This window comes from Homo sapiens, chromosome 10, assembly GCF_000001405.40.
Source record: "Homo sapiens chromosome 10, GRCh38.p14 Primary Assembly".
NCBI classification, from domain to species: Eukaryota; Metazoa; Chordata; class Mammalia; order Primates; family Hominidae; genus Homo; species Homo sapiens.
Window position 1 is genome coordinate 12,065,909 of NC_000010.11, and position 22,625 is coordinate 12,088,533.

The following is a 22,625-nucleotide window of genomic DNA, read 5'->3' on the forward strand; positions in this document are numbered from 1 at the left end:
TTATCTTTTCGTTCGTGGATCAACTTGAGGGACATTGATCCTGTAATTAACCCCTCCTTTCTACTCAAAGCTCTTTAGATTATCCAGTTATCCCATATCTATTCTTCACTGCCATCTCCTTGGTGTGCTCTTGTCTTTGTGCATTTGCCTAACTCCTCATGCCTCAAGATTCTGTTCTAATTTCCCTTCCACTTGCAGGTTCCCCTAACACACTCAGATCTCAGAAATTTTCTTTTCCCACAGCCCCACCCGTCCAAAGAGCTAGGTTCCCACAGGTTCACAACCAAGGAATAAAAAAGACAAGTCCGGCCAGGCGCGGTGGCTCACGCCTGTAATCCTAGCACTTTGGAAGCCTGAGGCAGGCTGATCACTTGAGGTCAGAAGCTCAAGACCAGCCTGGCCACCATGGTGAAAACCCTTATCTACTAAAAATACAAAAAAATTAGCCAGGGCTGGGCACGATGGCTCACGCCTGTAATCCCAGTACTTTGGGAGGCCGAGGTGGGTGGATCACCCGAGGTCAGGAGTTTGAGACCGTCCTGACCAACATGGAGAAACCCTGTCTCTACTAAAAATACAAAAATTTGCTGGGCATGGATGGCCGGGTGCAGTGGCTCACGTCTGTAATCCCAGCACTTTGGGAGGCCGAGGTGGGCGGATCACGAGGTCAGGAGATCGAGACCATCCTGGCTAACATGGTGAAACCTCATCTCTACTAAAAATACAAAAAATTAACTGGGTGTGGTGGTGGGCGCCTGTAGTCCCAGCTACTCGGGAGGCTGAGGCAGGAGAATGGCTGGAACCCGGAAGGCGGAGCTTGCAGTGAGCCGAGATCGCGCCATTGCACTCCAGCCTGGGCGATAGAGCGAGACTCTGTCTCAAAAGGAAAAAAAAAAAAAGATTAGCTGGGCGTGGTGGCGCATGCCTGTAATCACAGCTACTTGGGAGGCTAAGGCAGGAGAATCACTTGAACCTGGGAGGCGGAGGTTGCAGTGAGTGGAGATCTCGCCATTGCTCTCCAGCCTGGGCAACAAGAGAGAAACTCTGTCTCAAACAAACAAACAAACAAACAAAAACAACAGCAACAAAAATTAGCTGGGCGTGGTGGCAGGCGCCTGAAATCCCAGCTACTCGGGAGGCTGAGGCAGGGGAATTGCTTGAACCCGGGAGATGGAGGTTGCAGTGAGCCGAGATTGCCCTACTGCATTCCAGCCTGGGCGACAGAGCGAGACTCCGTCTCAAAAAAAAAAAAAAAAAAAAAAAAGGAAAAAAAAGACAAGCCCTTGCAAAACCAGGTCCAAACTAGCAAGATGGGGAGGCCACCAAAGTGTGGACCTAAGGGGTCCCAGCTACAGTAGCTGTGCTGGATGACGCTCCTGTGCTTGCAGGGGGCACTTACATGTGCCTACATTATATAATCTATCATCCTGTGTGCTGAGTTCTATCTACAGCTAGACTGGGAACTAAGGGCAGAAACTGTGCCTTATTAATCTTTGTAACCCAGCAGAGTGCTTTATGAGTGTACTGGTTGAATGAGTAAGAAGGAGGATGTCTTGGGCTTGTATGTATAATATTCCTAGGAGTTTGGGGTATAGCTGCACAGCTTACTGGAACGAAGGATGACTAACCAGGTAAGGATGCAGACTCTCTCTCCTACCATACTGGCAAAGTTAAAAGTAAGCCACAGAAAAAAAATCATTTGGGAAACTCACTCAGAGACAGACCAACTAATCGTTCATGTCCAGTTTCTTTTGACTCTTATCCCTTTCTTCCCTGCTCCCTTTACCCTATTTCCTTCTTTCTCTCTTAATGTTTTTTGTTTGTTTGTGAGACAGAGTCTCGCTCTGTCGCCCAGGCTGGAGTGCAGTGGGCACGATCTTGGCTCACTGCAACCTCTGCCTCCAGGGTTTAAGCGATTCTTCTGCCTCAGCCTCCCGAGTAGCTGGGACTACAGGCACCCGCCACCACACTCGGCTAATTTTTGTATTTTTAGTAGAGACGGGGTTTCACCATAGTAGCCATGATGGTCTCGAACTCCTGACTTCGTGATCCGCCCTCCTTGGCCTCCCAGAGGGCCTCCCAGAGTGTTGGGATTACAGGCATGAGCCACTGCAGCCTGTTTTGTTTTTTTTTTTTTGTTCGTTTGTTTGTTTGTTTTTGTTCTGTTTTTTTTGAGACGGAGTTTCGCTCTTGTTGCCCAGGCTGGAGTGCAATGGCGCCATCTCAACTCACCGCAACCTCCACCTCCCGGGTTCCAGCGATTTTCCTGTCTCAGCCTCCCGAGTAGCTGGGACCACAGGCACCCACCACTACGCCTGGCTAATTTTGTATTTTTAGTAGAGACGAGGTTTCTCCACGTTGGTAAGACTGGTCTCGAACCCCCGACCTCAGGTGATCCGCCCGCCTCGGCCTCCCAAAGTGCTGGGATTACAGGCGTGAACCACCGCGCCCGACCTAATTTTTGTATTTTTAGTAGAGATGGGTTTTCGCCATGTTGGACAGGTTGGTCTCAAACTCCTGACCTCAGATGATCCTCCCGCTGTGGCCCCCCAAAGTGTTAGGATTACAGGCGTGAGCCACCGCGCCCGGCCTCTGTTAATGTTTCTTAAGAAAACAAAAAAATTAGGGGTATTGATTTTGTAGCTGCGCTAAGTAACCTTTGCTTTTTGCGTCCCTTGGTCTCAGTCCTAGCCATTTCCTATCCACCCTGTGGCTAATTTGTCCTTTCTGTAACAGACACCCTAGACTGTGTCTATGCGGTTGGGCAGAGGCGTGATGGGTAAACACTCCTGGCGGGAGACTACAGGCGCTGCAGCTACATCCTGTTTCGTACTGGGAGCAGGTGCCGCCCCGCGGAACACTTACTTGCCCCGCCCTGCGGTGGAGCAGGGCGGTCTCAGCCGCCGGAACCGCCCTGGAAGCCCGCCCCAATCCTGGGCGTCGCTTCGCTGTGAGTGCCGCTGCCACGGATTGGCTTCCAGGGTCCGGCCCGTCGGCCAATCAGGCGCGGGGGCGTTGTCTGGGGGCGGGGCTCCGGCCGCCTCTGACGAGTCCCGGATTTACCAGGGCCGGTGGGATCCCCTCGGGCTCCCGCCTTAGCATGCTGGCCGGGACATCTGGTGAACATGGCCTCTGCTACTGCGGCAGCAGCACGACGGGGCCTCGGCCGGGCTCTCCCTCTCTTCTGGCGTGGCTACCAGACCGAGCGGGGCGTTTACGGCTACCGGCCGAGGAAGCCCGAGAGCCGCGAGCCCCAGGGCGCCCTGGAGCGCCCCCCAGGTCGGGGATGGGGCCCGGGCGGTGGGAGCGGGGGCTGGGACGCAGAAGCCTCCCCTGGCCGATTTGCGGTGGGGTGTCGGGGTCGGGGAACCGGCTGCCGGCCTGAACGCGCGGCCGGTGGGGAGGAGGGGGAGGTGAGGGGAGCAGAGGGTAGGTGTGGGTGCTCAGTGTTGGGGTCATCCCCCGTCCATCCTCTGTAACTGAGGATCTTTGAGGTCCACGCTTGGGTGGTCTTCCCATCTTGCTGGTCCGGACCTGGTTTCGGAAGGGCTTTTCTTTCCTTTGTTGGAAACGTGTGAGAAACTCTTTTTTTCTTTCTCTTTTTGTTTCCTTTTTTTTTTTTTTTTTTTTTTGAGACGGAGTCTCGCTCTGTGGCCCAGGCTGGAGTGCAGTGCTGCGACCACAGCTCCCTGCAGCCTCGAACTCCTGGGCTCAGGCTATCCTTCCACCTCAGCGTCCCGAGTAGCTGGGGACACAGAGGGATGACCACGCCCAGCTTTTTTTTTTTTTTTTTTTTTTTTTTCATTTTTAGTAGAGATGGGGTCCCACCATGTTGCCCAGGCTGGTCTTGAACTCTTGAGCTCAAGCTGATCCTGCAGCCTCGGCCTCCCAATGTGTTGGGATTACAGGCTGAGCCACTGCACCCAGCCTAGAAAACCAGCTCTTTAATGAGGCGGAGCTGTGGGAGAAGTAAAGTTTTAAGGTCTCCCAAGGATACATTTCCAGGACCATCTCTGAGGCTTCTTTTATGTGAGCAGGTGGGGGGGTCCAAGACTGCATTGCTTGGGAGAAGTGGGCAGTTAGTTCCAGTCTTGGAAGACAGCATGATATTTATTATGTATTTGTCTCCTTGTAGCTAGTCTGTTACTTTAATTTCAGAGTTTAACTCTTAACTCTGCTGAATTTGGAACTATGTGCTGGTGGGGTTTCTTTCTTTTCCTTTTAGCCACTCTATTGACACCTTGATATGTGCTGGTGGTTTTAATGAATTAACAGTCATGAATATCAGCTTTTGGAACTTCTGTTGCATGCTCATTTGCGAGACTAATTTTGAGTATTTGGTTTACGCTCCAAAATTATTGTATCATTATTTATCCTCACGGAGTAGAAGATAAGTACAGATTGCTTATTAGAGGAAAATCATTTGGCATCTTTGATCTGATCATTAGATTAATGTTGAAGATCCCCTTCGGCATCTGGGCACCTGACCTTGGAATGTTCCATCAATCACACACTAGAACTTCAATATTTTGCTCTTCACTTCGGAGGGCATTTAAAATAAACCTCATATCTCTGTCTCTCTCTCTTTTTTTAATCCTAAAATGGAGTCTGGCTTTGTCGCCCAGGCTGGAGTGCAGTGGCACGATCTTGGCTCACTGCAACCTCTGTCTTCTGGGTTCAAGCGATTGTCCTGCCCCAGTGTTCCGAGTAGCTGGGATTACAGGCACCTGCCACCATGCCCAGCTAATTTTTGTATTTTTAGTAGAGATGGGGTTTCACCATGTTGGCCAGGCTGGTCTTGAACTCCCGACCTGAAGTGATCCACTGGCCTTGGCCTCCTAAAGTGCTGGGATTACAGGCATGAGCCACCGTGCCTGGCCAAGAGGGAACCTCCTTTTTGCAGAGCCGAATTCCCCTTCCTGTCTACTTGCTCATTAGGGAGCTCCAACTTGACCTCATCTTTCTTCTTGGGCCTTCCTGAAAGTGACAAGATACAATGAACATACGCTCCTGAGCTACAGGCTTCAAGGGCATGTAGTCTGCCTCAGTCCTGTCCTACAGGACAAAAACCAAATGTTTTGTCCTGTAGCATAACACTGCCCATCAGCTTTCTAGGTGGAAATACCTGTGTCCTTGGTACCCATTGCCTGGCTGCTAATCCAATGCCATATATATTTTTAGGCTCTGTTAGGGCAGCAACCCACCTCTGGTACCAAATTCTGTATTAGATTGGAAGAGTTCAGGTGCTGTGATATACAAAGAGAAGGGATATCTTCTTTCCTTCCCCTTACGGTCATGACCCAGAAGTTGCATACATTGCTGCTACGTTCCCATTGTCCAAAACTTAGTCACATGGCCACCAGGTTATGGGGAAGGCTGGGAGGTGGCTCTTTGTTCTGGGTGGCCATATACTGGGCTCTCTATTACTATCAAAGAGAGGGTTCAGAATGGAAGTTAGGAATCGTAGCAGTCTCTGCCACAGAGGTATAGTAATCTGAGATGAGCAATCCACCTTTATCTTTTTCACCTCATATTTCACATCAAATCTTTTTAGTTTTTATTTTTTAAATTTTATTTATTAGGCCGGGCGCGGTGGCTCATGCCTGTAATCCCTGCACTTTGGGAGGCCGAGGTGGGCGGATCACCAGGTCAGGAGTTCAAAACTAGCCTGGCCAACATGGTGAAACCTCGTCTCTAGCAAAAATACAAAAATTAGCTGGGTGTGGTGCAGACGTGGGGCCAGGCACAGTGACTCACGCCTGTAATCCCCGCACTTTGGGAGGCCGAGACAGACAGATCACTTGAGACAGGGTCTTGCCATGTTGCCCAGGCTGGTCTCGAACTCCTGTCCTCAGGTGAAATGCTTGCCTCGGCCCCCTAAAGTGTTGGGATTATAGGCGCGAGCCACCGTGTCCAGCCCCAAATAATTTATACTTCCTAAGGAATGAAAAGAGGGTTCTATATACGCAATTTATTTGTGACATATAGTACATTTGCATTTTGTATGTGCAAACGTAACATTAATTATCAAGTATCTTTATATGTTAGGCAACATATTAAACTATTACCGTGTTTTATTTTTATTTTTTGAGATGAGATCTTTCTATGTCACCTAGTCTGGAGTGCAGTGGTGCAGTCACAGCTCACTTCAGCGTGCGCCGGGTTCACTGGCCTTCTTTCTTCATATGTTTATCTTGGCTAAAATAAATGTCTACATAGGATGACCACATCATTCACTAAGACTTCCCTTGTATTAAGGCTTTAAAGAGATATTGAGCCTGGGTGTGGTGGCTCATGCCTGTAATCCCAGCACTTTGGGAGGCCGAGCTGGGAAGATCACTTGAGGCCAGAAGTTCCAGGCCAGCCTGGCTGACATGGTGAAACCCCATCTCTACTAAAAATACAAAAATTGACCTGGTGGTGTGTGCCTATAATACCGGTTACTCGGGAGGCTGAGTCAGGAGAATCACTTGAACCTGGGAGGCTGAGGTTGCAATGAGCTGAGATCAAGCCACTGCACTCCAGCCTGGGTGATAGAGCAAGACTCTGTCTCAATAAATAAATAAATAAATAAATAAATAAATAAATAAATAAATACAAATAAATAATTAAATAGATATTGAATTTGCCTCTAGTAACCTTTTGGATGGCAGTGGTTTCACTAGTTACAATTTGACCCATGATGAGTGTTCTTTGTAACTAGGTATTTGTAACAGCTTGTACTTTCACCTCTGTAAACCTTGATTTCCAAGGAAACTTGAATTTATTTATCAACAATGCCAATTTAAAATGGAGGTGGGTTTAGGAGTAGTGATTCATGGGTGTTCTTCCTTTTTTTTTTTTTTGAGATGGAGTTTCGCTCTTGTTGCCGAGGCTGGAGTGCAATGGCACGATCTCAGCTCACCACAACCTCTGCCTCCTGGGTTCAAGTGATTCTCCTGCCTCAGCCTCCTGAGTAGCTAGGACTACAGGCATGTACCACCACACCTGGCTAATTTTGTATTTTTAGTAGAGACAGGGTTTCTCTGTGTTGGTCAGGCTGGTCTCGAACTCCCGACCTCAGGTGATCCACCCACCTCGGCCTCCCAAAGTGCTGGGATTACAGGCATGAGCCACCGTGCCTGACCTGTTTATTTGTTTTTTTGAGACACAGTCACTCCGTGGCCCAGGCTGGAGTGCAGTGGGGTGATTTTGGCTCACTGCAACCTATTCCTCCTGGGTTCAAGTGATTCTCCTGCCTCAGTCTCCTGATTAGCTGAGATTACAGGCATATGCCACCCCGCCCAGCTAATTTTTATATTTTTAGTAGAGACGTGGTTTCACCATATTGGCCAGGGTGGTATCGAACTCCTGACCTCAAGTGACCCAACAACCTCTGCCTCCCAAAGTTCTGGGATTATAGGCATGAGCCACTGCACCCAGTCCATGAAAATATTAGCTCTTTTACTTTTTTTTTTGGACAGGGTCTTGCTCTGTCACCCAGGCAGGAGTGCAGTGGCATGATCTCAGCTCACTGCAACCTCTACCTCCCGGGTTTAAGAGATTCTCCTGCCTCAGCCTCTTGAGTAGCTGGGACTACAGGTGCTCACCACCATGCCTGGCTAATTTTTGTATTTTTAGTAGAAACAGGGTTTCACATGTTGGCCAGGCTAGTCTTGAACTCCGGAGCTCAAGCCATCTGCCCTCAACCAGGCTTTTCTGAAGGCTGCAGTCTCTGGCTAGCTTTTTTCTCATAAGCTATCTCTCAATTCCGAGTTTCAAAATCTGGAAAAGCTCAGTCTGGCCCAGCTTGACTCAGCCTCTCCAGCAGCAAGGCAGACTGGAGTAATGCGTGCATCCCCACCAGGCCCCACAGCTTGGCATGGGAGGGTGCAAAGTGAGGGAGAAGAAGCTGCTTCAGCTCTTGTACTCTAAGTTTGAGGGCTCTGAAAAGCTTTTATCATGAAGCATGACTCTTGATCTCAGGACTTCATTCAAATAATAACAAATATTTCTTGAGCGTCTACCATGTGTTAGTCTTCTGAGCCAGAAGCATGCCTCTGATATTCTCCTTTATTTTTAAGAGGAGTGCAGGCGTGTATCTGCTGTTGTTTTCTCTATTCTCTCTGGCTTCGTTACGGACTTAAACATCAAATCTAATTCCTGTGACCTTTTGCAGATATTATGAACAGTAAACTGTTTGGGCGGTATTACGCCTAACGTAAAGGTATTCATTTTTCTCTTACAGTAATTCTTTCATTTCTGCAGTAATAGAAAGTTTTGCTTTTTGTTTTGTTTTGTTTTGTTTTGTTTTCTTTGAGACACTCTGTGTCGCCCAGACTGAGTGCAGTGGCACAATTACAGCTTACCATAGCCTCAAACTCCTGGGCTCAAGTGATCCTGCCACCTCAGTCTCCTCAGTAGCTGAGATCACAGGCACGTGCCACCACATCCAGCTAATTTTTGTATTTTTTTGTTTTGTTTTTGAGACGGAGTCTTGCTCTGTCGCCCAGGCTGGAGTGCAGTGGCACGATCTCTGCTCACTGCAAACTCTGCCTCCTGGGTTCACGCCATTCTCCTGCTTCAGCCTCCCATGTAGCCAAGACTACAGGTGCCCGCCACCATGCCCGGCTAATTTTTTGTTTTTTTTTTAGTAGAGATGGGGTTTCACCGTGTTAGCCAGGATGGTTTCGATCTCTTGACCTCATGATCCACCCTCCTCGGCCTCCCAAAGTGCTGGGATTAGAGGCGTGAGCTACCGCGGGTCTTGCTATGTTGCCCCAGGCTGGAATGCAGTGGCCAAAATCTCCACTGCACTCCAGCCTGGGCCACGGAGTGACTATGTCTCAAAAAAACAAATAAACAGGTCAGGCCTGGTGGCTCATGCCTGTCATCCCAGCACTTTGGGAGGCAGAGGTGGTATAAGAACAATAGCAAACATACAGGGCAATCCCCATTCCCATTGCAAACCAGCGGCCATATTGAAAACGTCCCCTTAGAGGCCGAAGCCAGTGGGTTACTTGAGGTGAGGAGTTCAAGACCAGTCTGGCCAACATGGTGAAATCCCATCTCTACTAAAAATACAAAAATTAGCCGGGTGTGGTCGCATGTGCCTGTGGAGGCTGAGGCAGGAGAATCGCTGGAACCTGGGAAGTAGACATTGCAGTGAGCCGAGATGGTGCCACTGTACTCCGGCCTGTGTGACACAGCAAGACTTTGTCTCAAAAAAAGAAAAAAGAAAACATCCCCTTAGAGAAGAACCTATGTCAATGCATAGAGATCACTGCTTCTGTTTCTTTTTCTTTTTTTTGAGACGGAGTCTCGCTCTGTCACCCAGGCTGGAGTGCAGTGACACAATCTCAGCTCACTGCAGCCTCCGCCTTCTGGGTGCAAGTGATTATCCTGCCTCAGCCTCCAAGTAGCTGGGGTTGCAGGTGCTTCTCGCCATGCCCGGCTAATTTCTGTGGGGTTTTTTTTGGTTTTGGTTTTGTTTTTCTGAGATGGAGTCTTGCTTATGATTTTTTTTGTATTTTTAGTAGAGATGGGGTTTCAGCGTGTTAGCCAGGATGGTCTCGATCTCCTGACCTTGTGATCCGTCCGCCTCGGTCTACCAAAGTGCTGGGATTACAGGCATGAGCCACTGCGCCCATCCAATTTTTGTATTTTTTGTAGAGACAGGGTCTCACTCTGTTGCCCAGGCTGGTCTCAAACCCTTGACCTCAAGAGGTCCTCCTGCCCCAGCCTCCCAAAGTGATTACAGGTGTGAGCCACAATGGCCATCCAGTAATAGGAAGTATTTTATGAATAATTCTATTGCTGTGCTCTCATTCTTTTAAATTTTATTTTTATTTATTTTTCTATCCTTCCAGGGAAAAAGAATTAAATCTTTTAATTTCATTCTTTATTATAAAGGTAATACAGTTGAAGTACGTTTTATCTAGAGCATTTGAAATTGGAACTTGATCAGTTAATTCCATTTATTTTTATTTTACTTCTTTTTTTTACTTCTTTTGTTTTTTCTTTTAAAACAATTTTGACAGAGCGAGACTCTGTCTCAAAAAAAAAAAAGGAAAAAGAAAATAAAGCAATCTGAATGCAAAATCTCTAGATTTTTCTGATTTCTTCCCCTAATTTTACTTTTTCCCACAGCAACAGTCTTAGGGACAAATAGAACTGATTCTTATAAGCACAAAGTCAACTGATGAGAGCAGTGCTGCATATGCTAGAGAGAAGCCACAAACCAAAGCTTTTAGAGTGAGTGCATCAGGCAGCAAGTCCGCTAAATGGCTGCATTCGAAAGAGCTTTATTGCCGAGTGCGGTGGCTCACGCCTGTAATCCCAGCACTTTGGGAGGCCGCGGTGGGCGGATCACGAGGTCAGGAGATACAGACTATCCTGGCTAACACGGTGAAACCCCGTCTCTACTAAAATACAAAAAATTAGCTGGATGTGGTGGCACAGGCCTGTAGTCCCAGCTACTTGGGAGGCTGAGGCAGGAGAATCGCTTGAACCCAGGAGGCAGAGGTTGCAGTGAGCCGAGATGGTGCCACTGCACTCCAGCCTTGGCAACAGAGCGAGACTCTGTCTCAAAAAAAAAGAGCTTTATTGTACATGTTCACTGTGGAAAACTGTGAGAATACAGTAAGCAAAAAATAGCAAATCTGCCTGGGTGTGATGACGTGCACCTGTAATCCCAGCTACTTGGGAGGCTGAGGCAGGAGGATCTCTCGAGCCCAGGAGTATGAGTCCAGCCTGGGTAATATAGCCAGACCCTGTTTCTTTTTTTCTCGGGACGGAGTTTTGCTGTGTCGCCCAGGCTGGAGCGCGGTGACGCGATCTCAGCTCACTGCAAGCTCCGCCTCCCGGGTTTACGCCATTCTCCTACCTCAGCCTCCCGAGTAGCTGGGACTACAGGTGCCCGCCACCACGCCCGGCTAATTTTTTGTATTTTTAGTAGAGACGGTTTCACCGTGTTAGCCAAGATAGTCTCGATCTCCTGACCTTGTGATCCTCCTGCCTCCGCCTCCCAAAGTGCTAGGATTACAGACGTGAGCCACCAAGCCCAGCCAGCCAGACCCTGTTTCTGATAAAAAAAAAAAAAAAAAAAAGGAAGAAAAAAGAACAAGTCGGCAATTTCTACATAGGATTATCACTTAAATTTTTGATCAGTTTCTTTTGTTTATGAAAAATATATGTGTGCATATATATAAGTATATATAATTACATATACTAATACATATACTATAAGATGAAATATATATTATAAACTACTCATATGTACATACACAGTGTAACAATGTAGGTGCATGCTTTATATGTTGTGGTCATTCATTAAGTGTTTTTTGTTTTTTTTTTTTGAGATGGAGTTTCATGCTTGTCACCCAGGCTGGAGTGCAATGGCACAACCTCGGATCACTGCAACCTCTGCCTCCTGGGTTCAAGCAATTCTCCTACTTCATCTTCCTGAGTAGCTGGGATTACAGGTGTCTGCCACCAGGCCTGGCTAATTTCTTGTTTTTAGTAGAGACAGGGTTTCACCATGTGGGCCAGGCTGATCACAAACTCCTGACCTCAGGTGATGAGGTCACCTTGGCCCGCCTTGGCCTCCCAAAGTGCTGGGATTACAGGCATGAGCCACTGTGCCCGGCCATTCATTAAGTCTGGATGCTTTTTCATCAATCATTCTTCTACAATATTATTTTTTAATGGCTGTCGGCAATTTGAGATGAGTTAATGCCATTGCTTGTTCCTCAGAGGATGGGTTTATAAAGAGAGAACTAATGATAGGGAGATGTCAATGAAGAATGAGGAGGGCCTACGTTTGTCTTCAAGATTGGAGGGTGCGGGTGAGGGCCACTGAGTACCTTCACGTCGTACTCATGCTCTCTAGGGACAGCCAAGTTCTGATTAAACCCAGGAGTGTGAGGAACGTTCAGAGAGGTTTGTTTTTCATGAAACAGAGTGCCAGAGGTCTCGGTGGAAGGAGGTGGAGACAGAGAGGGAAGGGGTTGGAGATAGGGTTGGTGGAAGAAGAAACCTGCCCGAAGAAATGGTAGTCTGAGGGAGCATGTGTTGCCAGGGTGAATGGAGGACGTGCCTGACATGAGAGAGGACTTCCTCTTTCTGCTGGTGCCAAACTGCTACATGCCTCATGTTCTTTGTGGCAAGGAGGGTTATTTTGTGCCAACTTCTGTGTCAGTATTCTAGTGTATCATTAGCAGCCTGGCTAGTGAGTACTTAGAAATAGAAGCAGTGGGCCAGTCACAGTGGCTCATGCCTGTAATCTCAGCACTTTGGGAGGCCGAGGCGGGTGGATCACCTGAGGTCAGGAGTTGGAGACCAGCCTGGCCAACATGGTGAAACCTCTTCTCTACTAAAAATACAAAAATTAGCCAGGTGTGGTGGCACGTGCCTGTAATCCCAGCTACTCCGGAGACTGAGATGGGAGAATTGCCTGAACCTGGGAAACAGAGGTTGCAATGAGCCATGATCGTGCCGCTGCACTCCAGCCTGGGCAACAGAGCAAGACTCCACCTCAGAAAAAAAAAACAAAACCAACAAAAACCCCACAAAAATTAGCCGGGCATGGCGGCACGCACCTGCAACCCCAGCTACTTGGAGACTGAGGCAGGACAATCGCTTGCACCCAAAAGGCGGAGGCTGCAGTGAGCTGAGATTGTGTCACTGCACTCCAGCCTGGGTGACAGAGTGAGACTCCGTCTCAAAAAAAAGAAAAAGAAATAGAAGCAGTGATCTCTAGGCATTGACATGGGTTCTTCTCTAAGGGGATGTTTTCTTTTTTCTTTTTTTGAGACAAAGTCTTGCTGTGTCACACAGGCGGGAGTGCAGTGGCACCATCTCGGCTCACTGCAATGTCTACTTCCCAGGTTCCAGCGATTCTCCTGCCTCAGCCTCCACAGGCACGTGCGACCACACCCGACTAATTTTTGTATTTTTAGTAGAGATGGGATTTCACCATGTTGGCCAGACTGGTCTTGAACTCCTGACCTCAAGTGACCCACTGGCCTCGGCCTCTAAGGGGACGTTTTCAATATGGCTGCTGGTTTGCAATGGGAATGGAGATTGCCCTGTATGTTTGCTATTGTTCTTATACCACTAATCATGAGTTGGGGGGAGATCGCTCAGAGAGAAAGTAGACTGAGAAGGTGGCCTTGGGCAGAGCTGGGGAGTACCAATATTTTATGTATTTTATTTTTTAGATATGGGATCTTGCTCTCTCACCCAGGCTAGAGTGCAGTGGTGAGATTTCCAGCTCAGTGCAGCCTCGAACTCCTGGGTTCAAGCTCCTCCCTCAGCCTCTTGGGTAGTTGGGATTATAGGTGTGCACCACCATGCCTGGCTACCAATATTTAGAGTTGGGCAAAGAGAAGTCCCTCAAAAGTGACTGAGGTTGAGTAGCTCTGGAGTTAGAAAGAAAACCGGGTTCCTGCAATGCTGTAGAGCCCAGGGAAGAATATGTTCTTAAAAGGAGAGAGTAGGAGCTGGGTGCGGTGGCTCATGCCTGTAATCCCAGCACTTTGGGAGGCCGAGGCAGGTGGATCACAAGGTCAGGAGATCGAGACCATCCTGGCCAACATAGTGAAACCCCATCTCTACTAAAATACAAAAAATAAGCTGGGTATGGTGGCATGCACCTGTAGTCCCAGCTACTCAGGAGGCTGAGGCAGGGGAATCACTTGAACCCGGGAGGCAGAGATTGCAGTGAGCCGAGATTGCACCACTGCACTCCAGCCTGGCGATAGAGTGAGACTCCATCTCAAGAAAAAAAATAAAAAAATAAAAGGTGAGAGTGGCCCACAGGGACATGCTTTAGACATAGTCTGTCTGGATTTTAGCCACAAATATAAAGGTTTCCTACTTCATATGACACTGATGGAGAACTTGAATAAGGTTCAAAATAGAACCCTTAGCAATTTATAGGACTAACCCCCAGGCTGAAATCAGTTCGTTTCCTGGGATGGTTTGATTCATTTATTTGAGCTATTATGGATCCACCTAACTGGTGTATGAGTGCAAACACATCCTGTGTGTGTTCAATACCTCTCTGTTCTTTCCTCACTAAACCTGCTACAAGTAAAGAGGTGTGCTTTGGCTGGGTGAGGTGGCTCACGCCTGTAATCCCGGCACTTTGGGAGGCCGAGGTGGGTGGATCATGGCATCAGGAGATCGAGACCATCCTGGCTAACATGGTGAAACCCTGTGTCTACTAAAAATAGAAAAAATTAGCTGGGCGTGGTGGCGGGTGCCTGTGGGCGCCTGTAGGCGCCTGTAGTCCCAGCTACTCAGGAGGCTGAAGAAGGAGAATGGCATGAACCCGGGAGGTGGAGCTTGCAGTGAGCCAGGATCACGCCACTGCACTCCAGGCTGGGCAACAGAGCAAGACTCCGTCTCAAAAAAAAAAAAAAAAAAAAGTTGTGCTTTGGCAGTGCATAGAATACAAACCCAAGTGCATGGGTGGCTCTGAAATCATTCCACAGCAACACTTGTTCATAAAATGGACCTTATAAGTTTTAAAATATGTGGGCCAGGTACATTGGTTCACGCCTGTAATCCCAGCACTTCAGGAGGCATGGCAGGCAGATCACGAGGTCAGGAGATCAAGACCATCCTGGCTAACACAGTGAAACCCCATCTCTGCTAAAAATACAAAACATTAGCCGGGCGTGGTGGCGGGAACCTGTAGTCCCAGTTACTCGGGAGGTTGAGGCAGGAGAATGACTTGAACCCGGGAGGCGCAGGTTGCAGTGAGCCAAGATTGAACCACTGCACTCCAGCCTGGGTGACATAGCAAGACAATGTCTGAAAAAAAAAAAAAGAAAAGAAGAAAAAGAAGAAGTTTGAAAATATGCTAACAATTGTCTCTGGGTTCTGAAAATAAAAACACAAATTGTAAAAATGTGTTTCTTGGCCTTCTTTGAGAGGCCAAGATGAGTGAATCGCTTGAGCTCAGGGGTTCAAGACCAACCTGGGCAACATGGTTAAACTCCATCTCAACCAAAAAAAAAAAAATTAGCCAGATGTGGTGGTGCACGCCTGTAGTCTCAGCTACTCGGGAGACTGAGGCAGGAGGATCACTTGAGCCCAGGTTGCAGTGAGCTGTGATGGTTCTTGGCCGGGTGCGGTGGCTCACGCCTGTAATCCCAGCACTTTGGGAGGCCGAGGCGGGCAGATCATGAGGTCAGGAGATTGAGGCCATCCTGCCTAACATGGTGAAACCCCGTCTCTACTAAAAATACAAAAAAATTAGCCAGGCTACTTGGGAGGCTGAGGCAGGAGAATGGCGTGAACCTGGGAGGCAGAGCTTGCAGTGAGCCGAGATTGTGCCACTGCACTCCAGCCTGGGCGACAGAGCAAGACTCCATCTCAAAAAAAAAAAAAAAAAAAAAAGTGATGGTTCTACTGCACTCCAGCCTGGGCAATAGAGCAAGACCCTGTCTCTAAAATAAATAAATAAATAAAAAGTAAGGTGTCTAGGGCTGTAAGAGCTTCTTTGAAAATCTGATTTTTGTGATTTGTAGTCATCTCCTAAACTGTTTGCATTTTTAAATTTTCCCCTGATTTAGTTGATCATGGCCTTGCCAGGTTGGTGACAGTATATTGTGAGCATGGTCATAAAGCTGCCAAAATCAACCCCCTCTTCACCGGACAAGCCCTGCTGGAGAATGTGCCTGAAATCCAAGCCCTGGTGCAGACACTGCAGGGACCCTTCCACACGGCAGGTATGGCTTCTGCACAGCAGGCGGGAGCTCGGAGCTGCACACCAGGCCAGGCTCCTGCCTCTGTTCTTGAAGAAGCAGCATCCCCACTGGAGCTGAGGCTCCCGCAGGTGTGAGGAGACCCGAGGGGCATGTTGAAGTACGGTCCGGGAGGAGCATTCTTGGGATTCTAGAAGTTCTGAGGAGGCCTGTTTTCTCAAGGTTCAAAAACATTTAATTGGCTGGGCACAATGGCTGACACCCATAATCCCAGCACTTTGGGAGCCCGAGGTGGGAGAGTCATTTGAGCCCAGGAGTTTGAGACCAACCTGGGCAACATAGTGAGACTGTCTCTACAAAAAAAAAAAAAAAAAATAACTGGGCATGGTGGTGCACGCCTATAGTTCCAGGCACTCTGGAGGTAGAGATGGGAGGATTGCTTGAACCTGGGAGGTCAAGGCTGCAGTGAGCCTTGATCGTGCCACTGCACTCCAGCCTGGGCAACAGAGTGAGACCCTGTCTGAAAAAACAAACAAACAAAAAACCTTGAACTCTAAAGTGCCATATGCTTAGCATATGTCAATTTATTCTCAAAATCACTCCCAAAAGTAGTTATTGTCCTCTTTATTTTGTAGATGGAGAAACAAAGAGGACTTATATGACTCATAGCTGCTCAGTGGCAGAGGTGGGGTGAAATCCAGGGCTACTTCCATTCCAAAGCTGATACCCGCCTCATTCTGTTTTCTTTCCCAGCCTGGGAACTTAGAAAAAGTTGGGCCTGCATCATCAGTCATGATTTCAGGGTCCTACCTCATGTTACTTTTTGAAGTTAATCTTGCAAATATCAAATTCTGATTGTGTGCATCAGTGAGTCATGTTTCAGTCATCTAATGCCGTGTAATAAACTACCCCAAGACGTAATGGCATTTAAACCCTCAATGATCATTTTAGTGTCTCTTAGGGTTCGGGGGGTTACCTGGGCTTTGCAAGGTGGTAGTTTTCTCTCTTTTTTCTTTTTTTTTTTTGAGACGGGCCTCCAAAGGCCCTTTTCTTGAGCCTCTGCAGAAAGATTTGATTTCTCAGCACCTCATAAAAGCAAACACGTTAATGTGGAAAACATAAAGCGACATGATTAATGGCTCAGTTGGAATATAGTGGTGATGCATCTTAACTTCCTCAAAAGACCAATACTTTAAATCTTTTTATACAAAAAAGAAATACAATGAACTTTGTTGTAAGAAACCATGAGTTGGCCGGGTGCGGTGGCTCATGCTGGTAATCCCAGCATTTTGGGAGGCCGAGGCGGGCAGATCACGAGGTCAGGAGATTGAGACCATCCTGGCTAACACAGTGAAACCCCGTCTCTACTAAAAAAAATAACAAAAAAATTAGCTGAGTGTGGTAGCAGGCACCTGTAGTCCCAGCTACTCGGGAGGCTGAGGCAAAAAAAAGGAGCATCTAATAGCAAGGCGTGAAGCCGGGAAGCGGAGCTTGCAGTGAGCCAAGATCGTGCCACTGCACTCCAGCCTGGGCGACAGAGCGAGACTCCGTCTCAAAAAAAAAAAAAGAAACCATAGGCCAGAGGTGTCCAATCTTTTGGCTTCCCTGGGCCACATTGGAATTAGAATTGTCTTGGGCCATACATAAAATACACTAACACTAATCATAGCTAATGAGCTGCAAAAAAAAATCACAAAGAAAATCTCACAATGTTTTAAGAAAGTTTATTCATTTGTGTTGGGCCACATTCAAAGCTGTCCTGGGCCACATTCAAAGCTGTCCTGGGCCACATGCAGCCTGTGGGCTGTGGGTTGGACAAGCTTGCTAAGCAATATAAAGTAAAGGTTGGGGCCGGGTGTGGTGGCTTATGCCTGTAATCTCAGCACTTGGAGAGGCCGAGGCAAGAGGATCACCTGAGGACAGGAGTTCGAGACCAGCCTGGCCAAGATGGTGAAACCCCATCTATACTAAAAATAAAAAATTAGCCAGACGTGGTGGTGTGCACGTGTAGTCCCAGCTACTCGGGAGGCTGAGGCAGGAGAATCACTTGAACCTGGGAGGCAGAGGTTGCAGTGAGCCAAGATCGTGCCACTGCACTCCAGCCTGGGCAACAAGAGCAAAAACTCCATCACACACACACATACAAAAGAAATTACTGTAGAAACAAAACTTGGCATAAAGCAGCAGTAGGCTCTGTCCTTGTGAAGGAAGTGGGGGCTTTCCCCCTTCTAGTTTTACTGCTTCATGACCTTTGACCATATTTTTAGTTTTTTCTTTAGAAAAAAATCGAGATAAGCATTAATAATAACCCAAGTTATTTATTTATTTATTTATTTTGGGACAGAGCCTTGCTCTGTCGCCCAGGCTGGAGTGCAGTGGTGTGATCTCGGCTCACTGCAACCTCTGCCTCCCAGGTTCAAGCAATTGTCCTGCCTCAGCCTCTCGAGTAGCTGGGACTACAGGCGCACGCTACCATGCCCGGCTAATTTTTGTAATTTTAGTAGAGACGGAGTTTTACCATATTGGTCAGGCTGGGCTCGAACTCCTGACCTCAGGAGATCCACCCGCCTTGCCTCCCAAAGTGTTGGGATTACAGGCGTGAGCCACGGCACCCGGCCAATAATGACCCAAGTTATTAAGAACAAAGCACTCTGCGTTGAAGTAATTATTTTGGTATGTTCCAGAATTAACTTGCCACATGATTTTTTTTTTTTTAAATTTTTTTTAAATATGAAAATTTATTTTGCATAGGAAACAATAATCTCTGGTAAAAATCATTACTGCATATAACAAAACAATGCCTTCAATTAAAGGGGGAAAGTGAGTTTTTAAACATTGGGGTTAATTTAGAAGAAAATACAGTATATAATAATCTCAACATCATGTTAAGGAACATGATTATTTTTTAAGATGACCCCTTTGATTGTATTTCACAGGATTATTGAACATGGGGAAGGAAGAGGCCTCACTTGAGGAAGTGTTAGTCTATCTCAATCAAATCTACTGTGGGCAGATTTCTATTGAAACCTCCCAACTTCAGAGCCAGGATGAGAAAGACTGGTTTGCCAAGCGGTTTGAGGAACTGCAAAAGGAGACGTTTACCACAGAAGAGCGAAAACATCTGTCGAAACTAATGCTGGAATCTCAGGTAAAAAGGAGCATCTAGGCCGGGCACGGTGGCTCATGCCTGTAATCCCAGCACTTTGGGAGGCCGAGGCGGGCGGATCACCTGAGGTCAGGAGTTCAAGACCAGCCTGACCAACATGGAGAAACCCCATCTCTACTAAAAATACGAAAATTAGCCAGGCATGCTGGTGCATGCCTGTAATCCTAGCTACTCATGAGGCTGAGGCAGCAGAATTGCTTGAACCCAGGAGGCAGAGGTTGCAGTGAGCCGAGATTGCGCCATTGCACTCCACCCTGGGTAACAAGAGTGAAACACCTTCTCAAAAAAAAAGGAGCATTTAATAGCAAGGGCATAGGTCAGCCTCACTGCCTATAAAGATATATAGCCTGGCTGACATAGAGAAACCCCGTCTCTACTAAAAATACAAAAATTAGCCAGGGGTGATGGTGCACACCTATAATCCCAGCTAATCAGGAGGCTGAGGCATGGGAATCCTTGGAACCTGGGAGGTGGAGGCTGCAGTGAGCTGAGATCGCGCCACTGCACTCCAGCCTGGGTGACAGAGCGAGACTCTGTCTCAAAAAAAAAAGATATATAACTACTGAAGAGAGGGAATTGAGCCATTAACTCTGAGCTTAAATCCCTCGTTACTTCAACACAACAGATCATATAACACACACCATTTTATTATTTTATTTTTCCTCAGAGATCCTTGTTCTGAGCATATCACTTTATTCTAAGTAGCAAAATGTTGGTTGCCAAAATATTGACCTATTGGCTCTCCTCAGAGTCAAAATACTTCTCGTGTATGTGTCTACTCACTCTATAAAAGACCTTACTTAAGACTTACTTAAGACCTTACTTCTGACTGGGCACAGTGGCTCGCGCCTGTCATCCCAGCCCTTTGGGAGGCTTAGGTGGGCGTATTGCTTGAGGTCAGGAGTTTGATACCAGCCAGGCCAACATGGTGAAACCCCGTGTCTACTAAAAAAACAAAATACAAAAAATTAGCCTGATGTGGTGGAGCATACCTGTGGTCCCAACTACTTGGGAAGCTGAGGCAGGAGAATCTCTTGAACCCAGGAGGCGGAGGTTGCAGCGAGCCGAGATCACACCACTGCAGTGAGCTAAGATTGCACCACTGTACTCCAGTCTGGGCAACAGAGCAAGACTCTGTCCAAAAAAATAAAAAAACATAGTTCTTAAGGTTTTATTTATTTATTTTATTTTTATTTTTTTGAGATGGAGTCTTGCCCTGTCGCCCAAGTAGCTGGGATTACAGGCACGTGCCACCACACCCAGCTAATTTTTGTATTTTTAGTAGAGACGGGGTTTCATCATGTTGGCCAAGATGGTCTCGATCTCCTGACTTCATGATCCACCCGCCTCGGCCTCCCAAAATGCTAGGATTACAGGCGTGAGCCACCACACCTGGCCTTTTAAACAAAATTTTTTAAAAATTTATTTAAAATTTATTTTTCTTTTGTTTTCTTTTCTTTTTTTTTTTTTTGAGATGGATTCTCCCTGTCGCCCAGGCTGGAGTGCAGTGGTATGATCTCAGCTCACTGTAACCTCTGCCTCCCAGGTTCAAGCCATTCTCCTGCCTCAGCCTCCCAAGTAGCTGGGACTACAGGTGCATGCCATGATGCCTGGCTAATTTTTTGTATTTTTAGTAGAACGGGGTTTCACTGTGTTAGTCAGGATGGTCTCGATCTCCTGACCTCGTGATTCACTCCCATCAGCCTTCCAAAGTGCTGGGATTACAGGCATGAGCCACCGCGCCCAGCCTAAAATGTGTTAGCCAGGATGGTCTCGATCTCCTGACCTCATGATCTGCCCACCTCGGCCTCCCAAAGTGCTGGGATTAAGGCATCAGCCACCGTGACTGGCCTAAAATTTCTTTTAATATGTGAGAAAAAAAAGTCTTTTGGTAACAGGACATACTGTCACCATTCAGGGCTATGTACAGTTGCAGTTCTTGAGACAGTCTTGCTCTGTCACCCAGGTTGGAGTGCAGTGGCACGATCTCGGCTCACTGCAACCTCCGCCTCCTGGACTCAAGCAATTCTCCTGCCTCAGCCTCCTGAGTAGCTGGGATTACAGGTGCACACCACCACACCCGGCTAATTTTTAGATTTTCAGTAGAGACGGGGTTTCACCATGTTGGCCAAGTCTCAAACTCCTGGCCTCAAGTGATCCACCTGCCTTGGCCTCCCGAAGTGCTGGGATTACAGACGTGAACCACCATGCCTGGCCTGGTCTTACTTCTTAAGAACTAAAGATACTTAAGTTCAGAACTTAATCTGAGATGATCAAAAGATGACATGTGGAAGACAGGCTCAGTACAAATGAATGGAACTGAACCTCTGCTGGGGCTGTGACCAGGACTCTGGAATGTCAAGATGGCAAGAAGCCCCTTCCTAATAGTTTGGGTAGTTGGATAGTTTGCAGCCTTGATTCATACCGTAGAGCCCCGTGTGAAAACTGGGGTACTGGGAAGAGGCAGCAGAAATCTAAGGCCTGGATTCCAGTCCAGAAGAACACACATTCTAAGGGGGTTTCCTTGGGGTGAGTTATTCTGCCGCTCAGGTTATTCTCCTCAGCCCCTCCTACTGTCCCGGATCCTAGGAAAACCATCCCGCTGTGTCCGTGTTATGTCTCTCTCCGGGATATGTAGTAAAGTGGCATTGCTGTGGCCACTTGGGGAGTGTGGGGCCATCTCACAACACACACAGACTTATCTGCCTTCCACTGGAGAAGCTGGCTGTCTCCTGGCAGCTCACGTCTGACATGATGTTCTGCAGGAGTTTGACCACTTTCTGGCCACCAAGTTCTCGACAGTGAAGCGATATGGAGGCGAAGGGGCTGAAAGCATGATGGGCTTTTTCCACGAGCTGCTGAAAATGTCGGCCTACAGCGGGATCACTGATGTCATTATTGGGATGCCCCATAGAGGGAGGCTGAATTTATTGACAGGCCTTCTGCAGTTCCCTCCAGAGGTAAGGTTACTCGCTGTGTTTCTCAGTAGCACTATATGATTGATTGTAACAGAATAAAACTGCTGGTTTCATTCTGGTGATAAATGATGGTGATGGTGATGGCCGGGCACTGTGGCTCACACCTGCAATCCCAGCCTGTTGGGAGGATGAGGCAGGAGGATGGCTTGAATCTAGGAGTTTGAGACCACCCTGTGGAACAAAGTGAGACTTTGTCTCTACCAAAAATAAAATAAGTTAGCCAAGCATGGTGGCACGCACCCGTGTTCCCAGCTACTCAGGAGACTGAGGCCAGAGGATCACTTGAGCCCAGGAGTTTGAGGCTGCAGTGAGCTATGATCTCACCACTGCACTCCAGGCTGGGCAACAAAGCAAGATGCTGCCTGAATATAAATAAATTTTTAAAAAGTAAAACTCATGGTGATCATTCATTTTAGGAAGTCAACTAAGGCTGGGCAAGGTGGCTCATACCTGCAATCCCAGCACTTTGGGAGGCTAAGGCAAGAGGAGTGCTTGAGCCCAGGAGTTCAAGACCATGGGTAACCTCGCAAAACTCTGTCCCTACAAAAATAAAAATTAGGTGGCATGGTCTCTACAAACATGAAAATTAGGTGGTGCACCTATGGTTCCAGCTACTTGGGAGGCTGGGATGGGAGGATCTCTTGAGTCCAGGAGATGGAGGCTGCAGTGAGCTGAGACTGTGCCACTGCCCTCCAGCCTGGAAGACAGAGCCAGATCCTGTCTTAAAAAAAAAAAAGAGGAAAGGCAACTAAGCATATGAGCAGTTGGTCCAGGAGGTAGCTTAGA

At 47.6% G+C, this 22,625-nt stretch overlaps 1 protein-coding gene across 1 annotated transcript in view, besides 4 other annotated features; it reads left to right on the forward strand.

Annotated features, from left to right (window-relative positions):
- DHTKD1 (dehydrogenase E1 and transketolase domain containing 1) overlaps positions 3,046-22,625 on the forward strand; it is a 54,268-nt gene continuing 34,688 nt past the window's right edge. The window contains exons 1-4 of the mRNA NM_018706.7: positions 3,046-3,279; positions 15,564-15,719; positions 18,632-18,843; positions 21,627-21,821. Coding sequence (NP_061176.4) covers positions 3,126-3,279; positions 15,564-15,719; positions 18,632-18,843; positions 21,627-21,821 — 717 coding nt within the window. The 5' untranslated portion in view covers positions 3,046-3,125. The remainder of the gene's footprint in view (positions 3,280-15,563; positions 15,720-18,631; positions 18,844-21,626; positions 21,822-22,625) is intronic.
- Positions 3,072-3,121: a silencer, noted in NCBI's record as "silent region_2136". NCBI's record gives its function as "represses an Ori minimal core promoter by ATAC-STARR-seq in GM12878 lymphoblastoid cells {active_cell/tissue: GM12878}" and the evidence as "EXISTENCE:reporter gene assay evidence [ECO:0000049][PMID:35858748]".
- Positions 3,222-3,381: a silencer, noted in NCBI's record as "silent region_2137". NCBI's record gives its function as "represses an Ori minimal core promoter by ATAC-STARR-seq in GM12878 lymphoblastoid cells {active_cell/tissue: GM12878}" and the evidence as "EXISTENCE:reporter gene assay evidence [ECO:0000049][PMID:35858748]".
- Positions 9,434-9,533: an enhancer, noted in NCBI's record as "active region_3032". NCBI's record gives its function as "activates an Ori minimal core promoter by ATAC-STARR-seq in GM12878 lymphoblastoid cells {active_cell/tissue: GM12878}" and the evidence as "EXISTENCE:reporter gene assay evidence [ECO:0000049][PMID:35858748]".
- Positions 12,703-12,752: an enhancer, noted in NCBI's record as "active region_3033". NCBI's record gives its function as "activates an Ori minimal core promoter by ATAC-STARR-seq in GM12878 lymphoblastoid cells {active_cell/tissue: GM12878}" and the evidence as "EXISTENCE:reporter gene assay evidence [ECO:0000049][PMID:35858748]".